The sequence below is a fragment of the Homo sapiens genome, chromosome 1 (assembly GCF_000001405.40).
Source record: "Homo sapiens chromosome 1, GRCh38.p14 Primary Assembly".
NCBI lineage: Eukaryota > Metazoa > Chordata > Mammalia > Primates > Hominidae > Homo > Homo sapiens.
In genome coordinates, this window is record NC_000001.11 from 94692962 (window position 1) to 94711380 (window position 18419).

The 18419-nt window shown below is 42.5% G+C and overlaps 1 long non-coding RNA gene across 7 annotated transcripts in view; it reads right to left on the bottom strand.

Annotated features, from left to right (window-relative positions):
• Positions 1–18419, bottom strand: part of SLC44A3-AS1 (SLC44A3 antisense RNA 1) — a 203881-nt gene that overhangs the window by 76610 nt on the left and 108852 nt on the right. For 3 of the 7 annotated variants that reach the window (NR_104131.2, NR_160784.1, NR_160781.1), the window contains one exon: positions 12478–12596. The exons of the other annotated variants lie outside the window; for them this stretch is intronic. This is a non-coding gene — a long non-coding RNA (SLC44A3 antisense RNA 1). The remainder of the gene's footprint in view (positions 1–12477; positions 12597–18419) is intronic. 7 annotated transcript variants of the gene reach the window in all.

The window sequence follows — 18419 nt, forward strand, 5'->3', positions numbered from 1 at the left end:
GGATTCTAGGCTATGTTTTTCTTATCTATACTTTCAATTTTTCTATAATCAATTTTTAAAAAATTGTCTATAATTATAAGAAGTCCATGTAGAAATTCAGACTCTCAAACTGTCTTATACTATTTATGTCCTGGCCTTGGCTGACTGTCTTGCACCAAGCTCCCTACTCTGGGAACTAGAGTGAGGCTGTTCTAAGAGGGGGTACTTAGCCAAGGGCAGCCCACCTTGGGTGGGCTCAGAGACCCACAAGTTGTGAGGAGCTCTGTCCAGCAGGGGGATGGTGAGCACGAGGCTGAGCAGCTCCCTTTGGGATCTAGACAAGAGCATGAGGGATGGAGTGGACGTCCTGGTAGGTGATAAGAACAAACCAGTACTTGGGAAAAGGAAAGGAATAGAGATCCCACAAGACAGAGAAACTGTGTAAATAAGAAAACGAAGGAGGTTTCCAACATTGCCTCAAGTTCCCAAAGGCTTGCTGATTTCTGGACCAATTTTCGTCCACTGGTATCCTTAAAGTCAATGCTAATTTCTGAGAGTATTTTTGAATGAGTCTCTGTGTCTCACAATAAAAACAACAGAACCATCAGTTCTCTTAGCATTGTCTTCCCAAATGGATTATGAATCTCTTTAGGGCATGCAGCATGCCTTTCACATCAAGCACATGGGGTTCAAGGCAGTGCACATGTTAGCTGACCACTTAATGCTTCATTCATTCACCATTTATTCACTCAAGAACTATTGAATGTATGTTTAGGGGGTGCCAAGTGTATTTCTAAGCACTGGGGAAACAACAGTGAATAAGACAAATCAAAAAATCACTGCCTTCTTGGGACAGGGAAACATGTGAAATACAATAAATAAAATATATAGTAAGTTAGGGCATGAAAAGTGCTAATGAGAAAATTCAAGAAAGGGAGTACTAAGAGTGAAAAGAGGGTGGACAGGCGTTGCAATTATAAACAGCACAGTCAGAAAGGCCTCCCTAAGAAAGAATATTTGAGCAGAGTCCTAAAGGAGTTGGAGGAGCATGCCATGTAGTTATCTGGGGAAAAAGCATTCCCAGCAGAGAGAAGAGCAAGTGTAAATGCCCCGAGGCAATGAGAGCTGGTGTGTTTGAGAAAGACAGTGACACCAATGTGGCTAGAGTAGAGTGAACAAGGAGGAGAGGGAGGCCAGTGGAAACGGGTCCATTGCCTATAACTGATATAAGTTGTGTTGAACTTGACAAGACTGGAGGACAGAGAGGCCCAAGAAAGGCCAATGGTTGTCACAGAGAGGCACTTGTTGAGGTGAAGCCTTGACCTCTAACCACCTAAGACTGGAAAGTGGAGCCTGAGTCATTGTTTGGGGTCCTATCTTTAAGTAGGAGAGATCAGGGAGGGAAGAGAGGAGAGTCTGGATTGCATGTGGTCAGATCAGGGGGGCACAGAAGGACTGTGGCTTTTACTCTGAGTGATGTGGGGAGACACAGGAAGCTTTTGAACAGAGTCGAGACACAGTGTGACTTGGGTTGTCACAGATCACCAGGCTGCTGTGTGGAGAACAGACTGCAGGAGAAAGAAACAGGCTTTTGCAGCTACCCAGGGGAGAGATGATGGTAGTTCAGATGAGGATGGTAGTAATAGAGGCTGTGGGAAGAGGCAAAGCCACATTCCAGATGTGATTTGGAGGTGTAACACCACAGCAAACATGGTATCTTGAAGTGATATGACTCAAAACAAAGCCTCCGGCTTCACTTTCCAGTTTTAGATTGGAGGGTAAGCCAATCCCTCAACACATCCCTCCCAAAACCAACCTTCCACCTTTCTGGCACAGTATGACTCATGTCGCTTTTAGACAATAAGGCATTTCCATGGGCCATTGCCTGGATGAATCTTCTTTCCTAAGCTACTCCCATATTTCCTTCTTTCGGGCTATTCATCAGCAATTGTCTAAAATAATTGAATGAAGCACATTGTCCTTTTTGAGATCTCCTTATCAAGTCTTTGGTGAGCTCAGACAAAATAGCCAGACTGCCCTGTAAAATTAATTCACACACATCATAGTGAGTGGTGAAAAGCTGAAAGCTTTTCCTTGAGGATCAGGAAAAGACAAGGATGCCCACTTTCACCACTTCTGTCCAACATAGTGTTAGAAGTCCTAGCCAGATCAGTTAGGCAAGAGAAAGAAATAGAAGGCATCTAAAGTGTAAAGAAGGAAGTCAAGTTGTCCCTGTTTGCAGATGACATGATTGCATACATAGAAAACCCTGAAGACTCTACCAAAAAAAGAAAAATAAAAAGGACTAAAAAACAAATTCAGTAAAATTGCAGCATACAAAATCTACATATAAAAATCAATAGTGTTTCTATATGCTAACAATGAACTATACGAAAAAGAAATCAGGAAAACAATTGCATTTACAATGGCTAGGAAAAATATATACCTAGGAATAAAGTCAACCAAGGAGGTGAAAGATCTCTATGCTGAAAATTGTAAAGCACTGAAGAAAGAAACTGAAAAGGACACAAATGAATGAAAAGATACTCTGTGTTCATGGATTGGAAGAATTAATATTGTTAAAATGGCCATACTGCCGAAAGCAATCTGTCAATCTGTGGACCTATTAAAACTATGGAATCCCTATGAAAATACCATGACATTCTTCACAGAAATAGAAAAAAAATCCTAAAATTCATATGGAACCACAGAAGATCCCCTAATAGCCAAAGCAATCCTAAGCAAAAAGAACAAAGCTGGAGGCATCACACTACTTGACTTCAAAATATATTACAATGCAGTAGTAACCATAATAGCGTGGTACTGGCACAAAAACAGCACATAGAGAAATGGCACAGAATAAGAGCTCAGAAATAAATTCATGCTCCCACAGCCAACTGATTTTCTACCAAGTTGTTAAGAACACACATTAGGGAAAAGACAGTCTTTTCAATAAATGGTGGAAAATTAGATATCCACATGTAGAAGAATGAGACTAGATCCCTATCTTTCGCCATATAAAAAAATCAACTCAAAATGGATTAAAGACTTAAATGTAAAACTTAAGATATGAAACTACTAGAAGAAAACATGGGGATACACTTCACAACATTGCACTGGGCAAAAATTTGTTTAAATAAGACCTTAAAAGCACAAGCAGCAATAGCAAAAATAGACAAACAGGATTATATCAAACTAAAAATCCTTTTGCACAGCAAAGGAAACTATTAGCAGAATGAAGAGATAACCTACAGAATGTGAAAAAATATTTGCAAACTATACATCTGACAAGGGGTTAATTTCCAGAATACATAAAGAACTTAAACAACTCAACAGAAAACAAAAACAAATAACCAGACTTAAAAAAATGGGCAAAATACCCTAATAGACATTTTTCAAAAGAAGACTACAAATGGCCAGCAGGTATATAAAAAAATACTCAACATCACTAATCATCAAGAAAACACAATCAACACCATAATCAGATACTACCTCATTCTAGTTAGAATGGCTATCAACAAAAAGACAAAAGAGGCCAGGCACAGTGGCTCACACCTGTAATCCCAGCACTTTGGGAGGCCGAGGCAGGTGGATCACCTGAGGTCAGGAATTTGAGACCAGCCTGGCCAACATAGTGAAACCCCGCCGCTACTAAAAATACAAAAATTAGCCAGATGTGGTGGTTGGCGCCTGTAATCCCAGCTACTTGGGAGGCTGAGGTGGGAGAATCACTGGAACCCTGGAGGCGGAGGTTGCAGTAAGCCGAGGTCGCGCCACTGCACTCCAGCTTGGGAGACAGAGCAAGACTCCAACAATGGATGAACAGATAAAGAAAATGAGGTATATATATATACAATGGAATACTATTCAGCCATAAAAAATAAAATCCTGTCATTTGGGGCAACATGGATGAGCCTGGAGGACATCATGTCAAGTGAAATACGCCAAACACAAAAAGACAAAACACATGGTTTTACACACACATGGAATTTTTAAAAAGTTGATATAATAGAAGCAGAGAGTAGAACAGTGGTTACCAGAGACTGGGGAGAGAAAAGGAAGGTTAGGGAAAATTTTGTTTATGGATACAAAGTTACTGTTAGATAGGAGGATTCAGTTCTGATGTTCTGTTGCACAGTAGGGTGACTCTGATTAACAGTAAAGTACTGTATATTATGAAATAGCTAGAAGAGAGGCTTTTTTTTTTTTTTGACAGTCTTATTCTGTCACCCAGGCTAGACTGTGGTGGCATGATCTCGGCTCACTACAACCTCTACCTCCCAAGTTCAAGCAGTTCTCATGCCTCAGCCTCACAAGTAGCTGGGACTGCAGGCATTTGCCAACACAGCTAATTTTTTTATTTTTAGTAGAGATGAGGCTTTGCCATGTTGGCCAGGCTGGTCTCGAACTCTTGGCCTCGAGTGATCCACTGCCTCGGCCTCCCAAAGTGCTGGGATTACAGGTGTGAGCCACTGCAACCGGCCGAGAGGCTTTTGAAGGTTCTCACCAAAAACAGATAATAAATGCATGAGATGATGAATGCACTAACTACCCTACTTGGATCGTTATACAACATATATATGTGTGTGTGATATATATATGTGATATATAAAAATATATATAGTGTGATATACATAAATATATATATTTTTTGAAAAATCAAATTGTAGAATGAGGTGGTATCCCATTATGGTGTTGATTGTATTTCCCTGATGGTTAGTGAGGTTGATTATTTTTTGGAGTAGTGTGTGAGGTATTGCTCCTCACACAAGGGCATTAGCTGTGGGGGTCTGCCCGCAGACCCTGACCCAAACGACGGATGAATAAAATGTACACTGACACACAGATATTCTGCTTTGCCAGTCCAGCTGAGCGTCCGACCGCCTGCACACCAAGAGAGGTTTGTCACTGCGGTCGGCCCTGAGCAGCTTGCACTCCAGGCATTTATTTAGTATACAATTAATAATAGAAGCTTTGAGGAAACACACTTGTGGATAATTAACATTGTTAAGAGAGTAGTTCTACGAATGATTAAAGCTCAGGTACCACGGTCTAAAGTAAATACCATTAGGGGGCAATTTCCCTGGTCGACCTCCCTCACAGAGGGCCATCTGGCTCAAAGGTTAGTTAAAGGAGGTAGGGTAAACAGACTTAATTGGGGAAGCCTCTATTGTTACTAGTATTTACCCTATGACTTAATGCTCTGAGGTAACAGGCTGCCTTCAGCCTGTTCAATTATTACAAGCTATGTAACCTTTCAGCCTTCCAAAAGATTTGTGACTATTTCCTATGACTTTCCCTAATATTTCCCTTTAATATTTCTGCCATCATCCTGAGTGAATCCCAACACCCCATTAATATGTACAATGACAATGTGTCAATAAATAAATCATCTACACATTTTCTTTGACGATGAAAAACAGTTTCTCCATAGCCTTGGGAAGGAGCAGGGAAGGGAGGGAAGAAAAACAGTAAGGAATGCTTAAGTCCGGGGCTCCTGGTATAAAGCTGCCCCTAAGTTAAAAGTTGGGAAGAACCTCAAAGAGTGATTAAGGTATCTTTCTATGTCATGAGTCACCACTGAGAAACATCAAGTGGTGCCTTGAGACCTCCTAGACTTAACATGCTTCCATATATAACTAATAAATTACTAGGAAGAGACTTAGCCCCTTGATGAATGTCTTATTGAGACTGGACAACATAATTTCTGTGAAATCAATAACCAGCCGTTCTTCCTCACCAATACCCTCCCTAGCTAAACATTGTTCATTAGAAGAGATGAAGCAGCTTTGAAACATACATTATCCCCCATCTTTTTAGCTATTGCTGAGAAATTTTGAGTACGAATTAATAACAGGGAAAAGAATCATACTTAAAAGCATGCCGTAAATGGGGCTGTTGAATTTTTGAGTCAACCAGAACCAGAACTAATGTCTGCCTATATGCATGATTTAATTGCTCAAGGTCACTTTCAAGAAGCTGTGCTAAATGCTGACAGACTTTGTTGGAATTATCAGAATTTTTTCAGGCTCAGTCATCTTGGCCTACCTCAGGGAGAAGTCAGATAAAATGTCAGAGGTCTGACTACCCAAACTCCAAGTCACATATTTTCTTCCTTGCCTGTGCTCACTAGCTTCTTCTAAAGTCCATTGGTTTTAGAGTCAAATGATCTGCTTTTGAAATCTAACTTCAACACTTACTAGAGGCTTAAAATCATTTAACAAATATTTATTGAATACCTACTGTGTTACAGGCACTGTAAACATTGGTGAGCATACAGCTCTTTGAGCCTTGGTTTCTTCACATATAGATGGCACTAATAACCCTTCCTTTGACAGTAAACCCAGTAGGGGGCAGGATTAGTGATAGGATTAAGTGACATGGTGGGGCACAGTGGCTCACACCTGTAATCCCAGCACTTTTGAGAGTCTGAGGCACGCAGATCACTTGAGGTCAGGAGTTCAAGACCAGCCTGGGCAACATAGCAAGACCCCATCTCTCTCTCAAAAAAAAAGAACATTAGCCAGGCATGATAATGCACACCTGTAGTCACAGCTACTCAGGAGGCTGAGGCAGGGCAATCCCTTGAGCCCAAGAGTTCAAGGCTGCAACAAGCTAGGATCACACTACTGCACTCCAGGGTGGGCAAGAGTGAGACCCAGTTTAAAAAAAAAAAAAAAAGATTAAGTGAGATGTTTGCTGAACAGCCAGCACATAGTACATACACAGTAAGTGGTAGCCATTATTGTAAGAAAATATTCAGATTTTAAAAGTGGGTAAGAAACATTTCCTCAGCATACCACCCCTTGAACTAGCAAGTAAGAAACTTGATCCTCTTTGAGAAAGTAATCACAATTGGCCCCAGAACATTACACTCTTTTGAAATGGCCTCTTACTGTTCCATGCCCTATGATTCCATGATGGTTAACTTATACATCAACTTGACTGGACAATGGGGTCCCCAGATATTTGGACAAACATCATTTGGGTATTTCCGTGAGGGTGATTTGGATGAGATAAGCATTTAAGTTGGTAGACTATGTAAAGCAGATTGCCCTCTCTAATGTGGATGGGCCTCATCCAGTCAGCTGAAGGACCAAATAGAACAAAAGGCTAACCCTTCTCTGAGTAGAAGGAAATTCTTTCTGCCTAATTGCCTTTGAACTGGAACATCAGCTTTTTTCCTGCCTTTGGTCTTGAACTGAAACATCAGCTCTTCCTTGGTCTCAAGCCTGTTGGCTTTCAGATATGAACAAACACCATCAGCTTTCCTGCTTCTCAGGCCTTTGGACACAGACTGGAACTAAACCATAGTCTTTCCTGGTTCTCTAGCTTGCAGACTCACCGTGCAGATCTTGGGACTTGCCCATCTCCATAATTGCATGAGCCAGTTTCATCCCATTCCTTCAAGTTCTCTGGAGAACACTAACACATTTCCAACGTCTTTTTCCACTCCCCATAATTTACTCTGTACTCTAGTTGGGCTGGACCCAGAATGCTGCTTGGCCTGCCATGCTCTTATGTGTCTTCCTGCCTTTGCACAAACATTTCCTCTGCCCCCAAAGCCCTCCTCTACCCTAATCTTCAGGGTCAACTCCTGCTCACCTGTTAGAACTCAATTTTTGTGTCACTTAACTCAGGATCTTATCCTTTTGAGTTTGGGCCTTCTCCCATGTTAGCCAATGCTCACATCATTTTCATATACTCTTTTGAAATCACCTCTTACTGGTCCTGAGAAGAATGCCATGATTAACTTTTACAAATGAAGGTTTATAAGCCCCAACCAAAAAAAAAAAAAAAGGAACTTCAGATCCACCATTGAACAGGAGATTTCTTCCAGATTACGTGCTTATTACTGTGGCCAGCTTGCCTTTAAAAGCTCTTTCACAATTAGAGATGAAAACGCCATCCTTCTGCAGAGGCAGCCCTAGCTGTAGAGGGCTGGAGACATGGCCCAGGCAAAGGATATCAAAGGTATGTGTCAATCAAACCTCCCACAGGCCAGTGCTCTTCATCATGAAATGCAAAGGGAGATGTTGGCAGATACAGGTTATGTGGGATCCTCTGAGCTGAGATTCAGAGGGCAGTTGCAGCTCCTTCTTACCTCAGAAGCACTGCAAATGGCATCACAGACAAGGGAGAATTTCCTATTGGTCCCTAGGATGGTTCAGGGAATATGAGAAACCAAAAAGAAAAAAGATAACAGAAGATGCAACGATAAAAGTTGGGGCAGGGACTCCTGGGCATGGAGAAAAAGTGTACAGGAATGCCGGGCATTTCAGGCTGACCTAAGGAAGAGCCCTGGATCAAGAAAAGACTGCCTTCTCCTCCTAGACATCTGGAGTCCCCGTACCTCATCCTGATATCTGGTGACTCCTGGAGGTTTTCCTGGAGAGAGCGGGGAGTGTCTACTTGACATCGAAAGGTCAGTATTGGGGTGAACAGTGAGAGGGGGTTAGTGTGCTGTGGACACCAGTGAATGGAGACCTAGAGGGATGGAAATCCACATGCAGTGTAGGAGATGAGGCTTGCACTCCATGAAGCTAAGGCACCGACTGCATTTTGCTTGAAAAGTCTTATACTGCCAGGATCTGGAGTTCAGATAAAACTCTCTTGGCTACACCCATCAGTGGAGTTACTTCTGAAGTTGTTAAAACAGTGTTGTTATAACACTGCTAGAATGGCTATTAAGTTGTGTATGGCATGGAATAGACCAGAGAAACCATAGGAACTTATTACACCGATTAACTAAATTTTACCTTTAAGGTTTCTTCCAAGTTGCCATTTTCAAGATAGTCTTAACTTTAAAAACAAAAAGAAAGTATTTTCACCTCTTGCTTTACAGAAAGTAGACGAAAATATTATTCTAGATGAAATAAGTGTCTCCACAGCCAAGGATGTATCAGGGAGAATTGCATTCCCCTTGTTTCAACTTCTTTAAACATATCTGCCTTTAACAAATGTGCTGAACATGTGTTGCATACAGTATAATGTTTCAGTATATTCCAGTGATGAATTGCCCAGCACCTTATCATAAAAAATGCCCAGCACTTTTATCACTTTATCATAAAAGTAAATAGTACTGTGATTTTTAAAACTCCCAGTAGTTTGGGTACATAGAGATTTAATTATACTGGATCCCTTCACTCACACAGCATTGCTTATACATCTCCATGCATAACTTGGGTCCACACATCTAGCCTTGGTTTGGTTTTTCTTTTTGAAATATATGGTATATTACTGTTTCTTCAGTTTCATGTATCTTGCTAGCTGAAAGACAACTAAACGAAACTGAAGGCATTATCCTCCCTCCGATTCTCACTCCCTGCTGTGTCCCTGGTGGTGTCAAGGACACAGTTCTCATTTCACTTCCCAGTGTTGTTACTGCTGGCAAGCAAGGCAGGTAAACCACAACTAAATCCACATCCTGCAAGACCCCTAGGAGCTGATTTCTCAGCTCAGAGGCAAAAGAATCAGCAATGGCCCACACTCACCCACTGAAAACCCCTCTAAATGCTCCCCAGCTTTCAGAAGGCCTCATCTCATTCTTTCCTCAGACCCAGCAGGGGTCAGTCCTTGTTCCCAGCCTTCCTCAGGAGGCCCTGACCTCGGCCAGTGCTGAAAAAGGAGTCACTCATTGCCCTGGCTGGGCTTTGAGAAGGTCAGGCCTGAGGCCTGGGTGGCCTCACCTAAGGGAACAAACAGTACACAGAGTCACCCTTCACTGACCCTTGCTCATGGAGGAGGCATGATGTGAAAAGTCCCTGATCCTCCCTCCTTTGCTCTGGAATGTATCTTATTCCTTCCAGATGTTTTCCCTAATAATAGCTGCTTGATCTAATGTAAGAGTGAGTCTGTATTCCCCAAGTGCACTGTGGACAATGGGAAAATAATCCAGAAATGAGTGGGGAAAGAGTACTTGGGGGTTAAATAATCTTTTTTTCCTGGATGGTCCTCAGAGTTGATAACCCATAAGGCCTAAAGTTTGAAAGGAAGAACTAAAACTGTTTATTTGCCAATGACATAATGTCTGGTGTAGAAAATCCCAAAGAATCTAAAAACCAAAAATCAAGCAAAGAAAACCCTCATAGAACTAATAGTTGGGTTTACCACAGTTGCAGAATACAAGATCAATATACAAAAATCAATTGTATTTCTGTATACTATCAATGACCGTGTGGAAACCAAAATTTAAAACACAGTATTCATTTACATTATCACCTCCTCAAAATAAAAAATATGTAAGTATAACCAACAAAACATGTACAGGACTGCTGAAAACTTCAAAATGATGATGAAAGAAATTAAAGAAGAAGTAAATAAATGGAAAAACATATTGTGTTTATGGATTGGCAGATTCAACATAGTGAAGATGCCAATTCTCCATTAGTTTAACACAATTCTCCTGAAATTGACTTATTACTTTAACACAATTCTTATCAAAACTCCAGCAAGGTTTTTTTGAAGACTTAGACAAGATTATTATAAAAGTTACGTGGAAAGGCAATGGATTAGAATAATTGAAACAATTTCCTGAAAGAATTAAATGGGAGGAATCACTCTATCTGATTAAGATTTACTTCATAGCAACAGACAATAGAGACGATGTATATTAGTGAAGGAACAGATAGATCAATGAAATTGAATAGAAAAGCCAGAATTAAATCCACAAAAGTACAGTCAACTGATCGTCAATGGAGGAAGAATAGCCTTTTAAACAGACAGTGCTGGAAAAGTTGGACATCCTTAGGCAAAAAGAAAGAAAAAAATGAACTTCAATCTATATCTCCTATCTTATACAAAGGTAATTCAAAATTCCTTATAGATTTAAATGTAAAATGTAAAACTATAAAACTTTTAGAAAACATAAGAGAAAACCTTTAGGAGCTAGGGCAAGGTGAAGAGTTCTTAGACATGACACTAAAAGCACAATCAACAAAAGAAGAAATCCATTAAGTTGTACTTCATTTAAATTTTAAAATTTTGCTCTGTGAAAGACTATAAAAGAGATGAAAAGACATGCTATAGACTACTAGAAAATATTTGCAAAACACACATATGACAAAGGACTCATATCTAAAATACATGAACTCTCAACACTCAACAGTACCAGGGGCTAGGGAGTAGGGAATTGGGGATGTGACTACAAAGGCATAGCATGAGAGATATCTCTGTAGTGCTAGAACAGTTCTGTGTCTTGATTATGGTGGTTGTTACATGAATTTACGTGTGCTAAGAATGTATAAAATCAGATGCAAAACTAGCGAACTTTAAATAAGGTGTGTGTATTATACTACTGTCAACTGTCTGGCTGTGATATTGGGGAAAATTGGGTGAAGAGTACACAGTCCCCCTCTAAACTACTTTTTGTACCTTCCTTTGAATCTATAATTATTCATTACCTGGATAGTCATCAAGTTGTTAATCCACTCACAATAACTGAGACTTAACTCTATTCTCCCATTGTAGACAGCAAATCTTTACAGGGACTGAGGCTTATATCTCTTTATGCCCTCCATATTCTGGCCACAGCTGAGTGCTCAGTATGTTTCTAAATGATAGCTGTCCTTGATCTCCTTTGGTGCTTGCCTCAAATTGGAATCTTTGCCCCTGCGTCTTTACCTAAAACTGTCTGATGTATCCATCAGCCAGGCCCTGAGAAGCCCCACTTGTTCCAGATTCTTCAGATCCTCCTGGCAGCAGCAGGCCAGTCCAAATGAACATTCCACTCTGTACTTTCCAAGAAAGTGGAAGCTCCTTGAGGCAGGATCTCCTTCTGTCATGTGCACCACTGTATCCCCATCCCCTAGAGTAGTGTCCAATATATAGTAGGGACTCAGAAAATATTTGTGGACTGACTATCCATTAAAAAGAAAGAGAGAGAGAGAGAAAGAGAGAGAGAGAGAAAGTAACGAGCAAAACAATCTTGCATGCAATCTAGCATGCAAAAAAGTCATAGGTCAACAAGGCTCGCTCTTCTAATAGGAAGAAGGAAGCAATCTTTATATGTGTGTCTCTTATAGAGGCCCATCTAAAAACACCTTCATGAGCCACCCTATGTGCAGTGATTTTTCCTTCTTCAGAATTTGCACAAACACCTCAAAGAATTGTTACTGTGTGGTGCACTCAGTTGAATTCTATCCAGGCATTCACTAAGCCATACTGTGTGTTGGGCACTGTACCAGCAATGGGGGTTCAGAGATTAGCAAAGTCTGCTTCCTGTCCCAAAGAAGCTTCCGGCACAATCGGGGGAGACAGACAAGCAGATCATTCCTATGGGTGTGCCTAGGGTGCTAGGATGGCACAGAAGAGAGGAATCCCGGTATAGTCTGGGAACATTGGGGTGGGCTCCCAAGTTATCAGACAGATGGGGAGATGGACAGGCAGGCAGATGACCACTACTGAGTTTTGTGCCAAACACCATGCTGAATATTATACACATCCTCTCACTGAGGCTTCTACAACTCCATAAGGCCAGTTTTATTCTTTCCAACTCACCTGAATCTGGGAGGACAAGTAGGATCGGGCAGGTAAGAGGAAGGGGAAAGGTGATCCCAGGTTCAGAGAACATCATGAACAGAAGCAGGGAAGTGTGCACACCGGGACTGTCTGGGGACCTGCAAGCACAAGTCATTTGTATTACTGGGGCAAAAACTTGACTGAGATCAAAATGGAAAAGGAACCAGAAGTAACCAAAAGAATCAACCCCAGAAGGTTTTGTTTGCCATGCCAAAAATGACAACGGTCTTCAGACCAGTCTCTATGGAAGCCTGGCATTCATGGGGCTAGGCCATGAGTTACTGCACATGTTTGGTGCTAATTTCATTAAAATGTGTTTCAGATAATATTGTAGCAGATGCTGTTTGTACCCTGCCCATACTTCCTGCTCCTTGACATTGCATTACACACTAGCCCACTTCAAACTGCCAGCCCTTGCATTGCTTTGACTGAGTTTTCTTTGACAGACAGAGTCCACTGTGCCTGACCACATGGCCGGTTGCCCACACCCCACAGCTCTCAGACAACGGAGTTGGTTATAAAATTCCAGCTCCATTTCCCCTTGGGAGAAATAACTCTGAGCCACAGGTCCTATGCTGGCTCTCAGAGCTCCCCAGTGGGGTTAGCTCTGGTTGTCCACAGCGGTAATTTACTTGATCAATTTTCCTCCACTGGCTACCTTCCCTTTCCCATCTTTTGTCCTCACCTTCCTGCAAGGTGTTTCCTGAGAGCACCTCTTAGATGAGCTGCTTGCATTTAAATCCTGTGTCAAAGTCTGTTCCTGGGGCAACCCAAGCTAAGACACACACACACACACACACACACACACACACACACACACAGAGGCATAGACTATCTCTGGTAGGATTCAAAGAAACTGATAAATGTGGTGTGGCGTCTGGGAAGAAAAACATTTCTTGGGAACAGGGCTGAGGGAGGAGACTTATTTGTCACAAAATATACTTTTTTTGTTGTTTTCACCTTTTGGCTTTTGCACCATTTCCATGAATTTTCTATTTAAAAAAATAAAATAACTTCCAAAGCTTGACCAGAGGCAATCAAAGAAAACCAATAAATCCTGTTAAAATTAAATAAATACTTTTTTAAAAGCTACCCAAAATATGTACTTTAAATCATTTAAAAAATCAACTGTGATTTTACAACAACATAGTCACATGCGCTTTGTATCAAAACATTGTAACATGTTGGAGACCACCAACGTATTAACTCATGTTGCCAGGAAAATTCTCTTTGAGATAGTCTGAAAAATTTATCTTTTCTGCTAGTTTCATTCATAACTTTGAATGTTTAACAGAGGTGTCACTGATTAGTAAGATTGTAGCTCTATATAGGTGATTTCTTAAAATCCAGGTCCATGCATGTCCTCTCAATTTGTACAAGCATACTACTATGGTAAACTGAGTCACACTCAACCAAATTCACACAGGCAAAACCTAGGTGATCACGATCCCTCCCACTGCATAATGGTGAGTTGTGCAGTCAGGATCATATCACACGAGCACCTGTCCTGAGGCTGGGTTGCTTTTGATTTGACTTTTACATTTAACACAGGGAGTAAAAGCACTTAGATATTGTTAATGATTCAACTTAGAATCAAATTTTCCTCCTACTCCACATTTAAGGTATTGGGTCTGTTTAATTGAGCGCATCCTGAGATTTCAAGGCAAGCTGTTTAAAAATTAAAAATAAAGTAAAGCAAAACAATTTTATGACTTACTTCTGTGAATTGAACTTTCTCAACATTGGACAATAGAAACAAATGCAGGAATAAATTGAATACCAAGGCTGACATAAAACTGCAACTGTACCCATGACCATGAATGTCAAATGTTTACACTTCTTAAAATACTCACATTGTTCAGAGTGACTGGCTTTATAACAATGTGTGCCTATAAAGTACATATCTACCAATAAGATAACTTTTCATCTGTTTCTTCTATTGGTTTTGAATATAACATTTATTTGAAAAACAAGTTACATTTCCAAATGTTTGTGATCTCTGACGTGGATGACGGTGACCAGGGCCAGCTCCTACGCGGGCGTGGGCGAGTGCTGTGGCCAGATGTGTGCGTTTGAGGCAGGCCACCCTGGCTGCTGTTGGAAAGGGAACTGGAGCCAGCCAGCCTCCACTCTAGGCAGACGACTGGAAGGTGCTGGGAGTCAGGCTAGAGATAAAGATTTGGCATCGCAAGCCTGGTGGGAGGTGGTTGACGTCTTGGGTGCTGAGGCTGGAGCCCAGGGCGAGTGTGAAGTAAGAGGAGGAGGTCAAGATGAAAGCCTGAGAAGCCATCTTCAGCCGCTCTTTCCACAGGCATCAGCATCAACCTCTTGACTACGGGACACCCCTGGAGGAGTGAGACTTTGGAATCAACATTCTTGAACACCCCATGAGACCTAAAAAAAACCCCTGCATATAGCAGCTGTTCTGTAAATGTTTCTAGACTGACTTATTTCTTCCAGACAGCAAGGGATTGTATTATAATGAGAATCTCATTTAAACAAATTCATCAAAATTCCTGTATTATAGCCAAACTTGTTTAAATGTCTCTACCTAGGTGGAATTAGCAGCTGGCATCTTTTTAAAAAAATTATCACAATTTTTAAAAAATATGCATACTCTGAATTTCAAGTCAAGGCTAAATTTTAAAAAAAGAAAAAGAGAGTGTGTGCACACACTGGGCACTTTTGAATGGCATATTTTCTCCCTAAAGAAGAAACAAAACAAGGGAGGAAGAGAGGAAGAGAGGGAAAGAAGGAAGGGAGGAGGGAAGAAAGGAAGGAAGGAAGGAAGGAAGGAAGGAAGGAAGGAAGGGAGGGAGGGAGGGAGGGAGGGAGGGAGGGAGGGAGGGAGGGAGGGAGGGAGGGAAAAAATGCATGGTTTGTAGTTAACCAGGCCCTTAGCAGACATCCTATAGAGAAAGTACATGATGAAACATGCCTAGCCTGAGTTTCCTACCTACTCTGAATTTCTTTCCCCTCTGCTGATATTTAATAACTGGGCTCAGAGGATAATTCCTTTTATTTCCTCTCCCTGTCTGCTCCACTCCCCCGCAAACTCCTTCCAGGTTTCTGAAGCAGAGTCTGGGCCTCCCTGAGTGGAACTCGCCCAGCCAGATTGAGAGAGAGTCTCACTGCTCATCTCCCTGGGGCCCCAGTGCCTTGAAGCTACTTCCTGAAGGACCATGTGGGGACCTGAGAGAGGACACTGAGCCTGCTTTCATATTAAATGTGTGCCTTGCCCTGTTAGTTTCTTTCCCTGGGTGGGAACAGAACCACCAAGAAGGGAGAAATGTCTTCCGTGGCGGGGTGATTCCCACCCTTCCCCTCTCAGGAGGAACTTCCCGGCCACCCCACTGTCCGCATTGTCCCTGAGGGCTGGAGGTTGACCAATGTGGGCCTGGGATGGGCCTTACTGTGGTCCCTCACCTCCTCCCTCTGTCCCCATGTCCATCTGTGCAAACTCTGGTTGAGATGACTGTCACAGGAAGTCTGGAGGGAGGAAAGAAGTCACAGAAGGGCAACATCGGAGGGGAAGGAGGGAGGGAAGGAGGCTCTGTGGTGGGTGGGACCCTCCCAGCACCGTCCTCAGGTCCAGGGCTCCACTAGAGGGAAGCGAAGGAACATAGGTTTCAGGGACCCTCGCTTGCCTTTCCAGAGCCCTGTGTCTAATTTCGTTTTTGTAACTTTACATTCTTAAGAAAGTGTCCGCAAATTCTGTAGGCTTCAAGGCCCCGAAACCAAATCCAGATGGTACCACTAGCTGACTTTGAGCCACTTTTCTCCTGCTGCCACCTCCCAGAACCACCCTCTACACATTCCTACATCCCTGGCTCACTCAGCTGCAGCCGCTGGCACAGGTCTCCTTGTTCTTTGGACATACCAGGCAGTGGCCAAGGCATTAGGGCCTTGGCATTGGCTGTTCCCTCTGCCTGGAAGGCTCTTCCCCCAGGTGAAGGCTTTTCCCACCTCCTTCATGCAAGTGGTGCTTTCTCAGTGAGGCCTGCCCTGAGCTCCCTAGTCAAGGTGGAATCCCCGGCTTCTTTGACCTTGTGTTGCCTTCTACCTGCTAAGTTCCCACATCAGTTATCATCTGCTAACACAATTCAAAATCTAGTTATTTACTGTTTTCTGTCCTCCTCCCACCACTAGAACTTAAGTTCCATGAAGGAAGGGAAATTCAAATCTGTTTTGTTTACTGACGCGTTCTGAGCACCTAGTACCTAGCAGTCACTCGGTTCATATTTGTCTGATAAATGCATGAAATTGCAGGTCCTAAGGCAAGGATACTGCCTGCTGCAGTTTGAGGACAGCTCTGGCCAATAAGCATCCAAATGAGAGAAAGAAAAATTGCTTCTCAGGGGCAACTGGCTTTGCAGGCTATCATGGGCCAAGGCCATGGACACCAGTGCATCCTCTCCCTGCCTGTCTGTCTCAGGATGCATCATTTGGCTCTGGGAATGTGCTGCCATCTAAGAACTTGCCAGAACTGCTGAGGCTGGGACAGGAGAGGGGCTGAAGCCTGCCCAGGCCGTGACTGTCTCACTGGTACTGGGGATCGTGGGACTTGTCATGTGTGGTGTCTAGTCCTGGAAAAGTGTAGCTAATTACTAACATAGCAAAGTGCTGAGTTAAAGAACAGAGATGTTTACTCAGAGCTGGTGCTAATTTCCTGCCTTTGCAGTGGCTGCTGGACTGGGAGGTGCACATCTGGCAGCACTTGCTGGCCTGACCCAAGGATGCAGAGCTAGAGCTCCAGAGGGTGATCATCTTGTGTCATTTGAGTCCCACAGGGACACGTCACTGATTGGCATTTTACCCTGGCGCCGAGAAGAGGGCGTGGAGGACACCAAGATGTCCATGGGATTGGCAACCCATAGTCAGCCAGCCAAGACCACCCCTGCAGACAATGCTGATGACATCATGACGATCCTAAGCTTTATATAGTAGTTCACAGTCACCAAAGCTCTTTGTCATACCCTATTTAATTTTATGGTCATCCAAACCTGTAAGAAAGACAGAGCAGGAATTGTCATCCCATTTTCCACAGGAAGAATGTGAGGTCTAAAGGTGAGGCTGTGTATCACAGAGCTAGCAAACGTCATGCTGGACTGGCTTCAGCACTAACAACTACACCCTGTCCTGTGTGCTCAGAGACATGGGCCCTTGACACCCCTGGGTTTAACACTTGCAGCTTCAACTATATCCTAGAAACCTCAAAGGCCCCTGAGTGTAGTGACTTATCCCTGCACTGTGGCTGAATTTGAATCCTCGTTCGATGAGGCCAGCTTGGGAGTCACATGGCTCACAGTGTACTTGGCTTGACATTTTTTAATCACCCTGTGGGCACCCTAACCCTCCTGTGACAATTTAAAAGCAAAACAAAAACAAAAAAAATTGTTTGCTTTTGAAAAATAGCCATCAGCTGCAAGTCAGCTAAAATCAAAGAGGCAATGGATGAGTGTGAATTTCATCATTAGGGGTGTAGTTGTCAATGAGACGTACTCGCGGCTGCCTTCTGATACACACTTGCCAAGTGTCAAATGTTTTGTTAGGTGCTTTACAAATGTTGAGTCTGGGTTGTCAAAGCCTGTGCTTTGAAATTCTACATCGTACTCTTCTCCTTGGAGATGCAACCTAGCAGCCTGTGTAGAGGCCTATATTTCTGAGCTCACATACCTTCAGACTCAGAAAGGTCTCAGAAAGTAACTTGTCTCTTTGTCTGTCTCTCTCTCTGTCTCTCCTTTACCATTGTCCTTCCTCTCTTCCCCCAGTAATTTTATAGCCTTCTTCTCCAATCTTCTCTTTCTTGGGCTGACCTGGAAACTCCAAATTTTTCTCTCTTCATCTTGCAGAATAATCCATTCATTCAACAAATAGTTTTCGGATGCCTATTTTATGCCAGGCCCTATGAGCCACTAGGG